Source organism: Homo sapiens, chromosome 6 (assembly GCF_000001405.40).
Source record: "Homo sapiens chromosome 6, GRCh38.p14 Primary Assembly".
NCBI classification, from domain to species: Eukaryota; Metazoa; Chordata; class Mammalia; order Primates; family Hominidae; genus Homo; species Homo sapiens.
In genome coordinates, this window is record NC_000006.12 from 132,941,303 (window position 1) to 132,962,550 (window position 21,248).

Here is a 21,248-nt window from a genome sequence, read left to right on the forward strand (position 1 = left end):
CTCTCTCTCGTTCCCTTTCTCACCACGTGATAGGTCTGCACACCCTTGGCCTTCTGCCATGACTGGAAGCTTCCTTAGGCCCTTACCAGAAGCAGATGCTAGCACCATGCTTCCTGTACAGCCTGCAGAACTGTGAACCAAAATAAACTTCTTTTCTTTATAAATTATACAGTCTGAGGTATTCCTTTATAGGCAGGCAAATGGACTAATAAAATGATCTTCAAGATTTTTTGTGTGTAGTTAAGTTTAAGTTTACTATTGGAATTCATCCTTTGTACAGTAATTAGTAACAATGCAGAATTCTGCTTGCCACTTTTTAGAACATGAAGTTATTATGGTAATAATTTACCTGAATACCATGATAGATAATAAATTGAGATCATAACAATCAAAATATTGCCAATTATTGAATATCTTCCATATTTCAGATATTCTATTAGGCAATTTATTTATATTAGAATTCAACTCTCACCATAACTCTAAGAAGTAGATATTATACCAAATTTGTATATGCTTAAAGTAATTGTTATTGTTTTAACTAGGCCACTCAAATTACTTCAAGGGAAGAGTTTTCTAAAGAATAATCGGCCGGGGGCGGTGGCTCACGCCTGTAATCCCAGCACTTTGGGAGGCCGAGGCGGGCAGATCATGAGGTCAGGACATCGAGACCATCCTGGCTAACATGGTGAAACCTCGTCTCTACTAAAAATACAAAAAATTAGACCGGCGTGGCGGCGGGCCCCTGTAGTCCCAGCTGCTCGGGAGGCTGAGGCAGGAGACTGGCGTGAACCTGGGAGGCGGAGCTTGCAGTGAGCCGAGATCGCGCCACTGCACTCCAGCCTGGGCGACAGAGCCAGACTCCGTTTCAAAAAAAAAAGAGAATAATCAAGCTGGGTGCGATGACTCACACCTGTAATCCCAGCACTTAGGGAAGCTGAGGCAGTAGGATTGCTTGAGGTCAGCAGGTGGAGGCTGTAGAGAGCTATGATCACACACACCACTGCCCTCCAGCCTAGACTACGGAGAGAGATAAGCTCAGGTACAGCTAGTAACTAATTTTACTGAAATTTTCATAATGCCCGATTCTGGGCTGGGTGTTCTGCATATCTTTTATCACTTATTCCTCACACAGTCCTATGAGGCGTTATTATTCCCACATTTTAGACAAAGAAACTGAGGCTTAGACAAATTTAGTATCTCACCCAAAGTTACACAGTTAGTCGGTGTGAACATAAACCTTTCTAATTCTAGTGTCAAACTGCTTTGCTACTATGCTGCACAGTCTCTCCAGTATATCATGGAATTTAGTACATGATAAAAGTAGCATTTTAAATCAGCCAGTGGAAAAACAATACATTATTCAAGAAGTGGTGCAGGGCTAACTCTATAAAATTGTGGGAAAATTAAACTGAATATTTAGTTCAATCATACAAAGATAAATTCCAGAAGGGATCAAATATATAAATATAAAAAATGAATCCATAAATATCCTCAAAGAAAATTAGCATGGATATTTTTATATTCTTGGGAAGGTTGCTCTCAGTATGACAAGAAGACCAGGAATCATAAAAGGTTGATAAATTTTGACTATGAAATGTCTTAAACTTTTGAATGCAAAATATATTTTAAACCATTTAAAAGCCAACTAGCATACTAAGAAAATATTCACAACATATATGCTAAACAAAATATTAATGATCTTAATATATACAGAACCCTTTAAATCAATAAGAAAGTAACACTCTAGTAGCAAAGTGGTTAAAGTTTATGAACAATAACCTCACAAGAGGAGAAACACAAATAGTCAAAAAACATTGTAATGATTCAAGGAAGGCAAATTTAAAAAGAGAGATAGCAATTTTCACCTCTCTGACTGGAAAAGATTAATGCTTTGTGTTAACAATGGTTTAGGAAAGTGAATAGCTCATAATGTAAATTGCTAATCATATCATTGAATCAACAATAAAAAAGAGTGGGCACCTTAATAATAATTCCACTTTGAAAATTTTAAATTATAAAAATAGACAAAAATAAATCTATAAGATATATATATATAAAATACTCAAATAGATTTATTTCAGCGTTATTTATTGTAGAGGAAAATTGGAAAAAACATAAATGTCTATCATGAAGACATTTCTGTTAGACATTATAGTATATGGATACAGTGGAATACTATGAACTATTAGAAATAATGCTGCAAAGCTATATTTATGAGCATGGAAATATGTTCGTGACATTTGAGTCAAAAATGCAAGCTACAAACCAGCTGTGAAAAATCATATGTGAATACCAAAATATATCTAAAGAAAAGCCCAGATGGCTAGTCAATAAAACAATCACAGCATTACAGTGGTTTTTATTTAAAAAAATTATTTATTGTATTTAAATTTTGTGTTTGTTTGTTTTTTGATGTCTTATGTTTACCATTGGAAGAGTAAGAAAGCTATTTTCCTTGTGGGAAACTGCTGGAAAGACATTCATGCATGGGCTGGAACTAATGAAGTGGAAATGGAAAGGAGGCAATGCTGAGACCAGTACTGCCCAGGCTTCCTTCAGGCTGTGCAGTCTTGGGCCATCTCTGCTCCTGCTGGGCAACCACTCTGTCCTCTTTTTTATGGCTCACATATTTTGCCCTAACGTTACTTTGGCTTACACATGGCTTTGGCTGGTCATGATCCACAGCATCCTGGTGCCATTTCAGAATTTATGTTAACTGGCTCATGGACTTAACTGCTCTCTGGGAATTTCTTCTTACTTAAAATCACTGAGAAAAGAAATCTGAATGATCATAGCCATCATTTTTTCCCTTCAATCTAGGCCACATCAAATGTTATTGGAAGGCATATGACTTAATTATCCTTGGCTCAGGTGCTCAGTTCATACAATTACCTGAGGCAGATTAGAGTATCATGATACCCAAGTCACCCAGGCCAGCTCTCAACCAGGGGCTAGGATCAAGGCCAATGCCCTTACAATGGCTGTCTAGAAGGCAAGCAGGAAGAAATGATCAACTCTCCATACACTTGGCAATTAAAACTATCATGTAGTGACTATTGTATTTACTTCCTATGACTATTGATTTAACAATTTTAAAAGCTGGTAGTACGCACAGCAAAGGAAATAATCAACTAAATGAACACACATCTACTGAATAGGAGAAAATATTTGCAAACTACCCATCTGACAAGGGATTATTAACCAGACTATATAAGGAGCTCAAATAACTCAACTGCAAAACAAACAAACAAACAAACAAACAAAAAACCCACAAATAGTCTGGGCGCAATGGCTCACACCTGTAATCCCAGCACTTTTGGAGGCCGATGGATCACTCGAGGTCAGGAGTTCAAGACCAGCCTGGCCAACATGGTGAAACCCCTTCTCTACCAAAAATACAAAAATTAGCCAGGCATGGTGGCAGGCACCTGTAATCTCAGCTACTCAGGAGGCTGAGACAGGAGAATTGCTTGAACCCAGAAAGCAGAGGTTGCAGTGAGCCGAGATTACATCACTGCACTCCAGCCTGGGCAACAGAGCAAGACTTTGTCTCAACAAAACAAAACAAAAACCCTCACAAATAATCTGATTAGAAAACGGGCAAAAGATCTGAACAGACCTTTCTCTGAAGAAGACATACAAATGGCCAAAGGTATATGAAAAAAATGCTCAACATCGCTAATCACCAGAGAAATGCAAATCAAAACCACAATGGAATATCATCTCACCCTAGTCAAAATGGCTTGCATCAAAATGACAGGCAATAACAGATGCTGTCAAGGATGTGGAGAAAGGGGAACCCTTGTACACTCTTGGTGAGAATGTAAATTAATATAGCCACTGTGGAGAACAGTATGGAGGTTCCTCAGAAAACTAAAAATAGAAGCACTGTATAATCTAGCAATTCCGCTACTGATTATATATCCAAAAGAAAGGAAATCAATATATCAAAGAGATATCTGCACTCCCATGTTTGTTGCAACACTATTCATAATTGCCAAAATATGGAATCAGCTTAAGTGCCCATCAGCAAAAGAATGGATTCAGAAAATGTGGTACACATATACAATGAGATATTATCCAGCCATAAAGAAAAAGAACAGAATCCTGTCATTTGCAGCAACACGAATGGAACTGGAGGCCATTATGTTAAAATAAGCCAGGCACAGAAAGACAAATATCACATGTTCTCACTCACATGTGGGAGCTAATAAAGTAAAACTTATGAGGATAAAGAGTGAAATGGTGGTTACCAGAAGCTGGGAAGGAGACAGTGGTGCATGCAGGGAGCAAAAAGAATATAAATGATTTTATTACCACTGAACTGTACACTTAAAAATGGTAAAGCCAGGCACGGTGGCTCATGCCTGTAATCCCAGCATTTTGGGAGGCCAAGGCGGGCAGATCACTTGAGGTCAGGAGTTCAAAACCAGCCTGGCCAACATAGTGAAACCTCTTCTCTACTAAAAATACAAAAAAATATCTGGGTGTGGTGGCACGCGCCTGTAATCCTAGCTACTCAGGAGGCTGAGCCAGAAGAATCGCTTGAGCCCAAGAGGCAGAGGTTGCAGTGAGCCGAGATCGTGCCACTGCACTCCAGCCTAGGTGACAGTGCGAGACTCTGTTTCAAAAAACAACAACAACAACAACAACAACAACAACAACAAAGTTGTAAATTATACATGTATATTTTACCTCAATAAAAAATAAAAATAAAAATAGTAGTGGGGAAAAAACACGGAAAAACAACAGAATTTCCACTGTGTAACTGTAACATCAGAAATCTGGAAAGCAGTGGAAATAAGACCATATTAAACAGGGCAACCTATTTTTCTCAGCTTAGGAAAAGTTAGGCATTGAAATAACCAAATAACAATAGTAAATTTGACCTTCAGGGGCATAATAAATACCCACACCATTGAGCACTCAATGCTGTGCATTTTTAAAAGCCATTGAGAAACCCTTCACAGCATAGGCAATATGATACATTTTGGCTTCAAGAAATGTAACATGTAAATCTTTATGAAACTAAACATCAAAGAAGATAGGAAAATAGCATTTAGGATTATAATTTGAATAATGTAGTCTACATCTTTTGAATAAAAATTTATAGCAAGATTAATTTTTCCATGTTGTACCAATTTAAAAGTTTGAATTACTTATACATTCTAAATGGCAATGATCTGCATTGTCCAATTATTATGACTTACAATGTGGCTCCAAATATCTTATTACAAGTCACAAATCTTACTGCTTCATAAACCAAGATAAGAAATTTAAGTAAAGATTTTGCCCCAATTTATAAATTTGATTATTTCCTTGAACAAAGCAAAATCAAATCTTGTATATTTATCCATGGTGCTAATTTGCATGGCCAATGTCAATAATGCTGGGAAAACTCCCTCATTAAATAGAACAAATGTAGACACTCCCTTATAAGGCCAATGTTTCAGATCAAATCTGAGAATTAGATTCCATGACATTACTCCTTTTCAATTACATTTATAAAAGGTTTTAATGCAAGTAAACATTATACTATGTTGTCATTCTATTATTTCAAAACCATGATTAAAATTCCCAATGTGTCTTGGAGTATGCCAGCACTAGGGATAAAGATTAAAAGATACGACTCCTAATTTGAAGGGATTGAAGGTTTAGTAGTGGAGACAGACAAACAATAGATCATTACATTATGTGCTGTTCTAGAAAAGAGCTCAGAGTGTTACAGGAGGCCTGTTCCTTACTTCTCTTCTCAATCTACTTGGGAATCATCTATACACTAATATTCTTGTGAACATTCAAGTGTTTCAATATCCTGGTTTTGAGTGTCTTCTCCAGGTAGAGCTATAACACATTTTTTGGAATTAATACATAATCTACACACAAGCCCTTAGGCATAATTTCTATTGATATGAAACATGACTTCAAATTCTTGCCAAACAATACTTCTGTAGTGTTTCTTGCTCGATGAGAACTGTTGTATTGAGTTCTGACAGCAATAAAGGTGTTTCATCAATCCATCTCATGAAATAGTGGTACCCATCTAATGCAACCAACCAAACACTTTATAAAGTTTAATATTCTCATTTCATTTCCAAACACTCACTAAATACATGGGATATTTTTTTAACACACACATTGTTGATTTTCTGTGTAGGGTAAAAAGTATGTGCCTTATTCAAGTAATTGGTATTCAATCTCCTCCACTCATCTTGTTTAAAATTCCTTCTTTTCCCTACTTTCTAATATCAACTTACAAGTCATTTTGTAGTGCCTTGGGTCGTCTTGTTTTGTAGATAAAAATCACTTAATACCAAAGGAAAAGAAAGGAAAAAAAAGTGAATTGATATATGAACTAAACATTTCCTTGATGGGCAATGAAAAAAACTAACGAATTTGCTTGATGATCCGTTTCATTTCCTAGTTATACAACTTAGAAAAAGATAACCTTCCAAAGAATCCATTGAGAAAGTGCTCTTCTAGCCTAATTGTGGGATTTAAATTTCAATTAAAATTGGACTTTTCTCCACTCAGTCTGCAACTGAGAATGAGTCTGGAATCTGTCTTTTTAAGGTGGGACTATAAGCCAGCAAACTCACCCTGCAAGAGAAAAATGGGAGGAATGAAAATTCTCAATCTTCAGAAAATGTGTTACTATGCTTTCAGACAAATATCATAGAGAAAAGGTACATGATGTCTTCAAATATATAAAAATACAGTTTATAGCCACTTGTTTCAACCCAGATAATAGAAATCTAGTTAGACCATGGAAAATAAATAGGTTTCTTTCAGAGAGCAAAATGCTGAAAGAATGTGAATTATTAGAGAATTCAAAGCTCAATATTAACTTCCATGTTGTGACTTGCATAGTAGATAAAATGCTCCTGATTTGCATGCAGATTTTTTTCTTCCTTCTCCTTCTCCTCCTCTCTTAAAACTCCTTTTGGTTTGATGAGAGAATGTGAGAATGAGTTCATGGTTTCAACTGTGCTCCGTGTCTGCCCTTATTTTGTTTTTAAGCCTGGTTCAATACTCAATTACCCACCAGAAGGAAGGTTGGTGTCTGATTAAAATAGTCTCATCACTAAATCTTCTTTCTAAATGGAATTGTTATTTGCTGACTAGAGTTAGTTACCATCATCTTCAGAATGAATGAATTCTTAAGTATTCTGATTGGAAACCTAATAAGGTAGAATAAAAATATCTTTGACCTACATGTTCCTCTGAAACATTTTCAACTGCATTGACAGGAAGTGTAATAGCAAATTGAATCAGTAAAGAAGTTCTTACAGGGAGTTTAAAAATGTTTACTAAGGCCCAGCGCCGTGGCTCACTCCTGTAATCCCAGCACTTTGGGAGATCGAAGTGGGCGGATCGCTTGAGGCCAGGAGCTTGAGAACAGTCTGGACAACATGGTGAAACCCCGTCTCTACTAAAAAAATACAAAAATTAGCCAGGCGTGGCAGTGTGCGCCTGTAATCCCAGCTACTCAGGAGGCTGAGGCAGGAGAATTGCTTGAACCGAGGAGGCAGAAGTTGCAGTGAGCTGAGATCACGGCACTGCACTCCAGTCTGGGTGACAGAGCAAGACTGTCTCAAAAAAAAAAAGTGTTACCTAAAGCCCTTGGGAGGGGAGGGTCCTGGGTCCGTGGTCCTCAGATCCGTTGCTCACTCTTGCTGTGCTGTGCTCTGCTCCTGACGTTGCTCCTGATACTTTTGCAAGCAACATTTCCCGGGTGCAGATATCAGCTGGCTTCCAGCTGGGCTCGACCAATGGGTGGCTATGATGAGATAGCTGAGGGCAGGAGAGAAAAGCCAGGGTGATTCTCAGGACAGCTCTCTGCCTCTGGTGGCATCTTCAACAATGACTGCATATCCTCCATGGCTCTAGCTCCTATCTGACTTGCCTGCTATTATTCCAGCTTCTCCTGAATAGTCTTGTGGCCTGGCTTCTACAATAGCATCTTCTTTGTCTATCAAATCAAGGACGTCCTTTTTGTCACTAATCTCTGGATTTCCTCACTGTCCTCAGCATGGTTTCTCAGGTTCTTTATCATCTGTGGAAACAGTTCCCTGCATTAAAAATCACTCGAATTAATTTCTTTTTTTCCTGGATAGAACTTCATTGATGTAGCTTTCGTTTGTCTTGTTGAACAAATATCCCAGGGTTGCATATTTCAGGGAAAAAAAGGCTAGGTTATACCAACAATATTGGCCGAATATTGCAAATACTCAAATCAATTCAAAAATAATAAGTTTTTTCCTTCCTAATACTAAACAGTCAGTTTAATATATCTCTTTTCTTGAATAACTGAGTAATTTTTTGATTTGCGTTGGTGTAATTTTATACCACAGTTGCTGTCTCCCCCATAGTTACCAAGGGCAAGTCTACTCAAATCACAGAATTTGGAATGAATGCCTGCTTAGCTGTCTATAGCTTCCTGGGGACTTTTTGGCCTCGATCATACCACTGGACATATTGCATATACAAATGGATCATGTTGGCTGTTCAACAAATTTGAAATGGTGATATTTACTGTGAGTTTATTAAGAAAGGGAGGGAGAGGAGAGGAGATGAGAGAGAGGAGAAGAAAGAAAGGGAAAAGAAAAAATGCACCTTGAAACACATGGGTGTTGTGAAGCCTGGCTCCATTAGGAACTTCTAATTTGGGCAAGTCATTCTGCCACTTTGAAACTCACCTTAACACGATGGAATTCGCATGAGTTCAGATAACTCAAAGTTCAGTTTAAACACTAAGGACTATTTATTATCTCAAATAACAAAAGCTCCCACGTGGAGCTGCTCCAAGTTGTCCAGGTTTGGTAATGCAGAACTCAGTGGCATCACTAAAGTCCAGGTTCTTACAATTTATTCTTTGCCCCCCTGAACTCTCCTGCAGTTACAGAGTTCAAGGCAGCACATGCAGCTGAGACAAAATTGAGCAGATGAGGCCATACCTTCTTTGAGTCTCTTTTTTATGAATGTAAGACCTTTTCCTAGGACTACTACAGGTGACTTTTGAAGTTGGAAAGAATAGCTCTGAAATTTGGACATATTTTAGAAGTAATTTTAATTGTTACTTTCGATGATCGATCATAGGGAATAAAAATGGTATAAAAGTTTCCTATCAAAATCAGAATTCTCAGAAAGCATACCAAGGAAAACACACCTTTCTATTTTTAAACATGGATTCATACATAGGAAATGGTTTGGAATTTTTTCCCCTGTGGGAAATATAAATAATTACTAAAGTTTGATGAGCACTTACTATATGCCAGGCACTGGGGCAAGCACTTTAATTGCTCCTTACAACTACTCAATAAGATGGGTACTAATAATATCATCTCATTGTGCACATGAGAAATTTGAGGTACTGGGAGGTTAAATAATTTTGCCGCTATCCCTCAGCTGTTAAATTTGGCAGCAAACCAGGATTTTTAACTCAAGGGGTTTAACAGCAGAATCCTTGCCTCCAAAGCCACAGGGAGACCAATAGACTTTTATCCAGAATTCACCCAAACAAAACTGTCAGGACATTATGGATTTTGCAGTAGTTCTTTGCAGCTGCTTTGAAATATCATGATTATTAGGGGCTTTCTTCAAAAATCCATTTGCTTCTAGCACGTACAAAAGTGAGCACAGTCATCGCTTAGTATACTCAGGAGATTGGTTCCAGGATTCTCTGTGTATACCTAAATCCTTGAAAACTCAAAGTCTGCAGTCTGCCCTGCCAAAATATAATATATATAGGAAATGTCAGCTTTTGGCATATGCAGGTTTTGCACCCCCTGAAACTATATTTTTCCCTCTGTGTTTAGTTGAAAAAAATTAACCTATAGCTAGACCCATACAGTCCAAACTCATGTTGTTCAAGGGTCAACTGCGTATATATTTTCAAAATTCCCTAATTTAGTATCCACTCACATTGTTCTTTAGTTCAGTGTTTCTCAAATGTTAATGTGCCCAGCAAAAACCTGGGGATTCTGTCAAAGGCAGATTCTGATTCAGGAGGTGTGAGGAGGGAGCTAACAAGCTCCACAGAGATGCCCATGCTGCTGGTCTGAGGATTACAATCAGAATAGAAGAGCATTAAATGACCTTTTATATGGTGGTGGTGGTGATCTTGCTATGTGCTAGAGTCAGCTTCTACTGGATTGTGAGAGCCAATTGCCTAATTTTCAGGAGTCTTGGGAGTTTGTTGTTAAGCACAGTCAATTAACAATTAATTTATATAACCTGACAATGAAGCAAACTGTATTAAAAACAAAGGCAATAAATGCTCAACCTCATTACTTACTAATTACTTTACTACATTTCTCAATTACTGACATTCTTGATGCCATTACATTGTGTCCTACTGCACGGTTCTTCCCAACTCTGCATTAAGTGATGTCATATTGAAAGCCTGAAATTGATCATGGTGGGAATATTTACGCCATGAAAATGGGAAAATACTACATGTCACAACTTTTGTCCCCCCGCCACCCCCACTCCGTAGAGAGCCTGTTGTTAAAACATTTATCGTCACACTCCTCTGGTGAACCTATGTTGCATTTATATCTTAGGTTTACTGATTTTTTTTTTTAAAGCTGGTTGTTATTCCAAAACACAGAACTAGTTTCATGGAGCTATCTTTGTCTGGGTCTATTTTATAGACTGGGTGAGAGTGTGAGGGAAGGTCTTCGAGTTTCAGTTTGTGAGTTAGCTGAGTTTTAGCTCCTAGGCGTACATATCAGTGTTCTTGTTTTGGGAAGGAATACCCTTGGAGCTCATTTGTACACGTCTTTCAGGCTAGTTACTCAAAAGAGAGAAGAGAGTACAGCCTGTGTATGCTCACACATAAGTTGCTATATATATGAAATGTCAACTTGCTCTATTGTTTGGACTCGACCATCCCCTCGTTACAGTCATTTGTTCTGCGTGGTCTGGGCACAGTTTCATATTTTGCTTTTGGCAGCTGAGAGCTATTATTGGGCCCCACAACATCTGTTTCAACAACAGAGGGTCCCTGGTCAGAAAAACTAATTAAAAAAGGAACCCAAAACAAAAAGTCATAACTTATGTTGTACAGTACATATAGAGTAAACATGGTTACCAGCAAAAGAAAGAAAACCCTTTCATATGGTTGGAGTTATTTACAAAAGTACGACAAGCGATGAAAGACTTGAGCCATATTTTGGGTTTGAGGCTGCAGGAGAGGATGCTAACTAGCCAGCTTCCCTGATGTGGGATGCTTTGCAAGGGCTGTGCTAATTGGCAAGATCATTCTCTGGTATGATCAACTGTATGAATAACAATATATAATGGGTTCCAAAACATTCACTCAGCCCTTCTGATTCATTCTTCCATCACATTTTCACTCATCAAGATATAAGTTCAAAGTCCTGGTGATTTCCTGGAAGGCTGAATTGTTTTTCCTAACCTGGCAGGAGCAAGGGCAGTGGTGTTTACATTGAGCTGATGAAATGCAAGTAATAGACAAAACATAGAGAGATGTGGGACCAGGAACCTGTAAAAAATCCATCTTTTTTTTTCCTTCAGTTTGCTTCCCAAGTTAAAAGATAATAGGAAAAAACTCAAAACCTCTTTTCTTCCTTTCACATCTAAAGGAACATGCTTTCTACTCTTTTATTATGAATAGAACCTCCTCAGTGATGATTGAAATGATTTTTGTGTGTATGTACCTGCTTTTGAGAAACAACCTTCTCCCTCTTAAGACTCTGAATATTTAGAAGCAAATCAATGACTAATGCTAAATCTAGCGTTTAAAAAAAATCATCAATAAATGTTCCTTCTATAAACATTTTCTTTTCTACAGGGGCTGAAGCAGGGTTAGGCCATGTTGGCAATTGTGCTCAATTCTATTTTCAGCCTCTTAGCCTCACAGAACAGCTGCACAAGTGCTGGGACCCGTGGGGAATACAGTCCACCTGGTTCCGTACTTTCCTTCCCACCCAGATGAAAATTTTAGTCTCTTAGTTGCTAACAAGACAACTACCCATTTCCATGGTTGACTATCTCTATCCCAGATACTTTTGAAACTGGGTATGCTACTAAGTTAATTTAGTAGTGGCATTTCACACTCATTTTGTGTTTAATGGTGTGAATCAGTGTGATTCCAAGGCAGTAGTGCATGTACATTAAGGATGTAGGCTGTAGCTAAACTGCATGGGTTTGGGTCCCAGGTCTGACTCTTACTAGTTGTGTGACTTTGGATAAAATGCTAATTTGTTTGTTGTTTTAATACAATCAGTGATATAGAGCTTGCACTATTGTATCATGCACTATCTAAGGACCTTATAGATAGTAACTATCTATAAGTGAATGTCACATTCACACCCTGGAGAGAGACCTTTGATCACTCTCCATTTTTCACATGAGGAAACTGAGGTACAAAAGATAAAGGGCATATTAACTAAGAATGTGGGCTCTGTAGTGTTGTTACCTGAGTTTGAATTCTAGATTTGCCACTTCCTGGCTATGCCTAACCTCAGGCTACAAAATAACAGATCATACCCACCCTACTCCCATCATTCTATTCTTAGAGGGATTTTGTTTTAAAATACCAACAAAATAGGACTGACATATGATCAGAATAAATAACAAACTCTTAGAATATATGTAGCTTTTAAAACAAACCACTACATTCTCCATGGTTTAAAACAAACCACTATATCTCACTAATGTATTTCTGGAGTATCACTGTTTCTATAATTAATACAGAGAGAAATTATAAGTGTATTTTTATAATTATTGGCCCAGTGTACTAAAAAAAAAGAAAAAAGGGAAAAAATATCATTCAGACAAAGAAACACAAAAATCTACATAGTCTTATTTGGGAAACTAGTAGTACATACTGCAGAACTTTCATAATATATTTGGAGAATTTTAAATTTAGTGATTCCAAAAAAACATGGATTTATGCCATAAATTACCTCTCCCTCAGTTCTGAATACTGCAGAGCACGTCTTTGAGCAAACATAGAGTATCTGGGACCACAGTAGTTCGCTCTATAGGTGTGCCAATCGGTAATGATCCATGGCTGCATACCCTGCTCTGTAATACCCCAGCCGTCAGCCAACCAGAAAGCCCCAGAGACTTCTCCGGCCATCTGAAAACACTGCCATTAGAGAAGGTTCTGCCTGGCTGTTTTCTTCTCTTCCCGGGAAATATGGCCAGATTATTGCTGACCTATCTGGAGGCAACAGGAACATGGTAATCTGTTCTTATTCTAATGGATCTTCCATAACGTTTCCCACAAAGAATTACTAACCATTCATGACCTTCATCAAATAACGGTAAGGCTGCCGCCTTTTCCCTCAGCCATCTTTCACAATCTAAAAATATGTCAGGGTAGAATAAACTTTGTAGAGTTTCTGTTTTTCTTTAAGAAATTGACTGAGATGCAGAAATGATCTTCTTCGCCAACATTCTTAGTATTGGAACTGATTTGATAGTTGTTGCATGTTAAATAAGTGGCATTTTTTATTCAGTCTCATTTAAAAATTGTACAAAACAGAGCAGATTATTTGTCACTTTTATTTGTCTACAGTTTTTTTAAATTTTTTAAAATTCACCGTCTTTGTATTTCTTGAATTATGCATTTATTCGTGGAGCCCTTTTTACATACATATTTAAAGGAAACGTGTGGGTTGCTCTTAAGTTCCCACTGTGGACATTCGATTGACATTTTTAAAAATTCCATTTATGCTTTGAGATTAATGGAAAAATCAGTGCTTTTAAAAACGATTTTGTTTCCAAGATGTTTGCCTGCCAAAATCTGAATATAATTTAGTGTAGGTAACTCAGAGTTATGTGTAGAGGGAGTTTGGATGAATGGTTTATCAGACTCACACTCTTGTAGCCTTTGGTTTTGTGTGTTGTAGAAACGGGTTGGCAAACAACAGGGCCAGTAATCATTCTGTGCATCTCTGGTGGAGTAATATAAGCAATAGTTCATGTTTTCAGTTTCCATGTTGCGGGTAGAGAGTTGAGAGCCTAACATTAACACTTCATTTTTAGACTACCTTGTTTTTACTTTGTTTGCTTTTCAGTAATAATTTTGTTTCATTTCTTTATACTAATTCATGACGTTTTGAAGAGAAGGAAGATAAAAGTGACAAATTCTTTGCTTCTATTGTGTTCTTTTTGATAATAGCTTTATTGAGATACAATTCTCTATCATACTTTAAAAATCTTTGCTCAAAGCATAACTTACTGCAGTTTGAAACTCCTGTACATTTAGCCAGTGATCTGTTCAGCTACCAGCTCTGAGATGAAAATAGGCAATAAGGCTCTGTTCCTTGGAGAACTTGCTTGTATTGAACCAAAATCTGTCTCTTTGACGTTTTGATAATTGGAACACCATGGAACAAATCTAATCCCTTTCTCACATGACAAACCCTTATGTGAAGGCAGTGATTACAGCTTCCTGAAATCCTGCCTTGAGGTTAAGAATTTCCAATATTTTTTGTTTGCTTTTTTTTTTTTTTTTTTTTTTTTTTTGAGACGAGGTCTGTCACCCAGGCTGGAGTGCAGTGGCATGATCACAGCTCACTGCAGCCTTGACCTTCCAGGCTCAACCGATCCTTTTACCTCAGCCTCTCAGCCTCCTATATAGCTGGGACTGCATGTGTGCACCACCACAGCCAGCTGATTTTTACTTTTTTTGTGGAGATGGGGTCTCCCTATGTTGCCCAGGCTGGTCTCAAATTCCTGGGTTCAAGCTGTCCTTCCTTCTCAGCCTCCCAAAGTGCTGGGATTACACAGGTGTGAGCCACCTTACTCAGCTATCCAGTAAATATAATTTTGACTACTGTCTCCATTCCTAATTATGGTCCTCTGAATTCAGCCTCTCTTACAGCATGGCTCCCAGAAAGGAGCACAGGACCCAGGAATGTCTGGTCAGAATAAAGCAGTGAAGGATTACATCTCCCTCATTCGGGGGTGCTAATTGTGTGAAGGTGCATGAATTCCTTTTGGGGAATGTTGAACTTGCCAACCATTTAATTAAACCACTAGATAGTTTTGTGTTTTTTTGTAAGCCATATTTTTCCTTTCCCAAAAATATTTTATTCTGTATCACTTGACTTGCTTTGTAGCAAATGAAAATTTGCTACAAAATTTATGAAAATTTTTGAAAATTACAAAATTTTCATTTGCTACCTTCATCACTTCATCCACTGATAAAAATATGAAGAACGACAGACTTAAGAATAGAGCCCTGGCCTCCCTCCACAGTGCTATTGCTAAGTGCTGATATTTCACTTGATTGGTAATCCACTTCATTGTAAAGCATCCAGGCAAGTTTTATCCATTTTGTTCATAGGATAATTTCTATTGTCTATGAGTTACCTCCCTAAGTAAGAAATGAACCTAGCAGGTATGATTTGTTTCCAGTAAACAGGCTGTTGTTTTAAGTCACTATTCCTGCATGGAACTCAATTTTCTTTCCCCATAAAATGAGGCAGTTGGGCAAGAACATTCCACCTCACTAATCACATAAACTTTAAAAATGAAGCCTGAAGAGGACCTTTTGGTTCTAGACCTTCATTTAAGACCCTGGGCCACCTCAGTTCCAGCAACGGTCCATATGCGTGGCCTTATTACTAGGGCTTTCAGCTTCTAAAATTCTGTAATGTTTACTTCTGTTATACTCAGTAGGAAAACATTTTAATCAGGGAGAAAATTGGAAAAAGAGAGATAATTTCAATGGGCTAAATTTGAATGCAACGCAAGGTGGTAATAGCAATTCACATTCACATTCCCATCTCAGAAATGTTGGAGGCCAGGCATGTCTCAAATTTGGATTTATATGACATCCTGAGGGAGCTATGAAATAAAACATTTCTGCCCAGAACAAACATTCATACAAAATGGAATAAATACAGACCAATAACATTGATATTTCTGCAGCAAAGCATGAATATTCATAGAAAGTAGAATAAAGACTGTAACAGCATGTCAGTTAACAGCAAGTTTGTTACCCATACTTATGAAAAATTTTCTATTTTCAGATTTTCTTTTGGATTTTAGAATTGTAGAGAAGGCATTGCATACCTATATTAGTAAAATCATTGGCACATAGTGTAAACAAAACCTCATCTTATTTATTGGTTTTTATTTTTACCAAAACAGAAAGATGGGAAATTGGGCATGCTATGTATCCATTTGATTTTATAAAATTCATCCTAAGCCTTCATATGAATTAAACATGGATGACACCAACTGACTGCCCCCCCACATAGAATTAACTACTTTCTCATTTGTGTTTCCACTGTATGCTAAACAGATTGTTTCATTCAATAAGCATTTATTGAGTCTCTACTAGGTGCCAAGCCCTGAACTAGGAAAATGGGCATATAAGAGTGAATAAGTCAGTTACTGATCATTGTCCTTATTGAACTCACCAGTGAAGAGAAATAGAAAGGCATAATGCAAATGTTTGCAAATTAACAGGGAGGCTTAATGTGGTCTTTTGGTTCAGGGAACTCCCTGAGAATAAGCATCTAGACTAAGACCTGAAGGATGGTGTGGTGCCAGCTGAATGAGGAGGGTAGGGGAGAGACATCACATATGTCCTGGAAGTGAACATATGGAATGGCACAGCTGGGAAGAATTTATTCAGTGATCCCAAAGGATCCTGTAAGGTTGGAGTATAGAGAAGAGGGAGAGTAGCTAGAGATGATGGGTTAGGGATCAGAGAGTGGAGGACCACATAAACCACATTAAAGAGTTTGGACCTGCTGGTAACCAGGTCAGTCTTCTCTAAAAATGAACAGTTCTTTGAGTCATGGATCATATCCTTTTCTTAGTTTCCAGAGCTCATCACAATGACTGGCATATGGTAAATGAATATTAATCCAAGGGGAGGAAGGATGGAAGCTAGAAGGAAAGGAAGGAAGAAAAGGAGAGAAGAAGGTGGAAAAGAAGAAGGAAGGAAGAGGAATGAATTTAAGAATGAACGATTCAATACAAACATAGAAGAAAACTTTTTTGAGTATGAGAGATGGGTGGTGTTAACCATTTAGAAAGGTGGAGAGGTGGTGTCTTAGCTAACGGTTTAGAATCTGGGTCTTTAAATGAAGCCTTAACTTATTCTTTACCCTCAGGCAAATAGCTTGGCTCTCAGGACCTCAGTTTTCTCTTCTGCAAAAAAGCTGTCATCTCTAGCTCTGAATGCAATAATTTTATAAAAGTAGCTTTCAAATGAATGTGGGGACAGATTTCTGTCATCCAGAGCACAATTGGTTGCAAATTGCAGTATGATTCTTGTGGATGCTCCATGTGAGGAAAGGATCATGGGAAGAGTCTGTATTCAGGAAGGTAAGTGCCCATATACAGAATCTAAGCTTTTTGATTCATCTTTGATTGAATATTCATTCTACTTCTAATAATATAGATGGAAGAGTTATTTTTCTTCAAATTTATATTCAGTAACACCCTCAACATCTCTCAAATTACTAGTGTCAGTTGAGACAAGAACAAAACAAGAATGTTAAAAATACCTTGTGTCTCTATGCCATTGCCACAAAAACTCAACAGCCAGCTTGCTTGCCGGCAAAGGCTTTCTTTTCAGGGAAGATAATTTGCATGTGGGGCTCCATTCAAGTACTTTGAAAATGTGTCCAAGGAAACTTAGCAATTGAAATGATTATCAGAAACTGGTTGTGTTTTTCATTCTAAATCAGACTGATTTCCAAGACACTCTTGGTGTGCTAGAGGAGGATGAAGAGAGGGCATTTGGAGCCCATTCTTAGTCTTCAAACTTTCAGGACACTTGAAATGTATTCTCTAGTTTGGCCTATGGTAACTCAGTCTGTTTCCCTGTTTCATTACTCCAGTGTTGGCAGGTAAAATGTATATTATATGGTTTAGAACTTTGAAGAACTTTTTGTGGGTGTCTATGCTTAAGACAATTTTAGTATTAGTAGACATTAATTATAGTCAGCAGTTTGGGGAACAAGCTAGGAATATATGGAGCCAGTGGGCTTGTTCATAATTTTTTAAAATTGGGGTTTTCTGCAGGGAAGATGCAAGAAAAGAGGCCAGATGGGTGTTATACAGGGACAGAGAAATCTCAACATCTTAGCATTTATGATGTTGTTGAAATAGTTAGCCAGTGAGGGAAGAGTGGAGAGGCTGAAGTCCACTGTCACCTGAAGGGTCTTGACCCAAGCTATGGAATTTTGGAGAGTTCTCTCCACACATCTGGGCCTCACAGTCTTCTGTTGTAAGATGAATGAGTGAGCCTGCATGAAGCCCAAGGCCCCTCAGTTCCGAAATTCTACAAGGTCAGGAAGACAGGGTGCTTTACATACAGAAATTTTACAATTATGCATTTGCTTCTGAGATAAAATGTCATGAAGATTCAAGCTTATTCTAATAAAAAATAGTGACGCTTTTTTATTTCAAGAAAGACTGCCAATTTCAGTCAAAGGAAAGTACAGTAGCTTCTAAATGGTTAACAGTCTTCCTTCGCATTTTGGGGAAGCTTAATGTACTGTTTACTTTCCTCACTGACTGTGCTTTAGACTTCAGAGTCCAAATGTGAATCGTTCCAGTTACAAACATATTTTACTGTTTTCCTTCATACTCACACTCACACACACATACACACTTCATACACACATGCATGCATATACATACACAAATTATATTTACATATTTATTTGAAACGTTTTAACTATTAAGAACTTATGCTACTTTGCAGCTTCAGGAACACTTTTTTTTTAGGTATTAGCATACATGACAATGCTTGCTATTCATTTATGGGAAATGAAACAGAAATTGGTACAATATGGGGTTTCTAGGAAATTTACTTCAGGAAGTCAGCCTTACCCAGAGTAAACTTCTGTCTGTTCATGTTAACACTTAACCTGAAACACATTGTCCAAGTCTGCTGGACTCAACTCAAGAATACAAGTACATATAGAGGTCTCAGCATCCCATAAAATGATTAGTAGCAATGCAATGTCTTTCTGATTTTGTTTGCTTTCTTGTTTTGGCACTTTACTACTAGTATGACCTTCTGCTTAGCATGGTACTACTCCAGAGAGGGTATCTTGGATCCCTCTTCTACAAAATGAGAGAAAAATTATACTCTGCCTACACAAGACAGAACCTGTACAAGAAAGATTTCAAAAATACTTTTCGCTCTCAGAAGAATGCGATGCATGAATAAAACTTGAAATTTGAAAAACTTTAATTCTCACTGATGCCCAACAGAATTTGATGTGGCTTAACGGAAAATCATTAACACAAGAGTAAGAGGAAAAGGACCAAGCCATGGGGGAGAAAAGAAGGGAATTTGTTGTTGTTGCTCTGTTTGTTTTGTTTTTTGTTTTGTTTTGTTTTGAAATAATTGAAGATCGAACATTGAATTTTCACCCCAGGGAATTTCTACATAATGACAAAATTTGTTTAATTGTGGGATTAATAGGGGGCTCAAAAGTCTTTTACTTGGAAACTGCTGAGCCTGGCGAGCAGTGACTATCAGCAGTTACCATCTGACAGTTATTCTGTGGCTTAAGGAAAATGGCTTGTGGTCGCAGTCCAATTCCTGCTGGACAGGTATCCGCATCATAAGAAACCACCACTAAATTTGGCACCTAGACGAACTATTATTGGCAGCAGAGAAAGAAGGCCTGAATCAGCATTCGGATTTGAGAGCCCTGACCATCTAACCTGGTCACTCCAGGTCAGGACTGAGAGTGGCGTGTTTGCAGGGTTTAAAGTGGGAACATTTAAGGGATTATTGCCTGATGCCATTTGACGGTCTATGAATAAAATGATTATTCAGATATCTAGCGTTTCCCATCTGGCACATTTTTATGTACTTAATTGCATCAAGAGAAGGAAACCCCCCGCCCCCTTATATTGAATATGATCTTTTATCAGCCTCTTAAAAAATACAAGCAGATACTGCAGGCACTATTACTATGTAACAGTGTATTCAAGTACTCAAGGTTGTTTTAAATAGTCATTGTGCTGACAGAGCTCACATTTTTACAGAATGACAAAGCGATGATGAGGAAAAGCAAAGAAATCCATGCCAAAGGGCCATTCAGCAGTGAAAGCATGGCTTTTAGTGAGCTTGCACGTTCGTAGGCAGTTTACTACTGACCACCTCAAGGGCAGCAGAGGCCCCATGGTGGTTCTATCCAAAGAGTGGAATTCTCAAGGCTTTATTTGCCTTAAACTTGATGTCCTAGTAGACCTGATATCTACTGCAGAGAAGTATAAATGGCTTATTCTTCCAGTAGGAGCTCACTTTGTTTCCTTCACTCCTCTATACCTGGTTGCTTTTAGTCAACACACAGTAAAATACACCCTTGAATGGAGAGAGTATACTAATGGATCAAAGGTGTTCCAAGGGCATTGCCACCAATATGTCAACAGTAGGATTTACCTGGCCCAGGGGGCCCGCCAGTCATTTAACAGGGTAGCAGTCTGGGGTGCCAATAGGCTCTGCAGCATTGTAGCTAAGGCTGACCTCAGTAGGGTGGTGCACCTCCTGCTGGTCAATAAATGAGGTAAATTTAATGGCAGCCTTTGAGGTGAACCAATGTTTTATTCCTTGGCCAAGGCTGAAAACGTGGCTGGCCATAAGGAGGAGAGGGTGATATTTAGGAGCGTGGAGAGGCAGGCAAAGTGCTCGTAAAGACCTTGGAAAATGCTTATAAACGTGGTTGAAAAGAGACAAGGCATTGGAAACAAAAGCAGATTTTCCAAACCAAATCTCTGAGATGCAATTATATATATTTTTTTTCTGGAAACAAGCTCTGGTTGAACCGTGTGGTACAACTGTTAACAGCCTTTTGCCAGAAGGAGTCAAGTAAACATGGCAAAGAAATGTTTTTCTCCTTTAGGGAATATTCACTTTTCTCTTTCCTATGACTTTTTTTTTTTCTTTTAGCCCTACCTGGAAATAGTTATAGTTGTTATAATCATATCAAACTAAATTAACGTAATTTAGAATAATTAAAGTTTTGTGGGTTTTTTCCTCTTTCTTTATACTGTATTTACTTAGTTTCTTTGCATAGTCAAAACTTTTGGCATTTGAAATCATTTAAATTAAAAATGTTGTAGATGCTTTTACAGTAAATCAAAGACAATTTTTTTTTACAAAGTTTCAATACACTTCCAAAGTCGCAGCAAGACGATAATTGTAAACAAAAGCAGTAGAACTGATGCAATTAGGGCAAATATAATCTAATTAATAACTTACCTGTAGATGATCGTGATTT

General features: G+C 37.8%; 1 long non-coding RNA gene across 1 annotated transcript in view; it reads left to right on the forward strand.

Moving 5' to 3' along the window:
* Positions 1 to 16,883, forward strand: part of LOC105378008 (uncharacterized) — an 81,586-nt gene extending 64,703 nt beyond the window's left edge. Inside the window, exon 8 of the long non-coding RNA XR_001744346.1 lies at positions 16,815 to 16,883. This is a non-coding gene — a long non-coding RNA (uncharacterized LOC105378008). The remainder of the gene's footprint in view (positions 1 to 16,814) is intronic.
* The last annotated feature ends 4,365 nt before the right edge of the window (positions 16,884 to 21,248 follow it).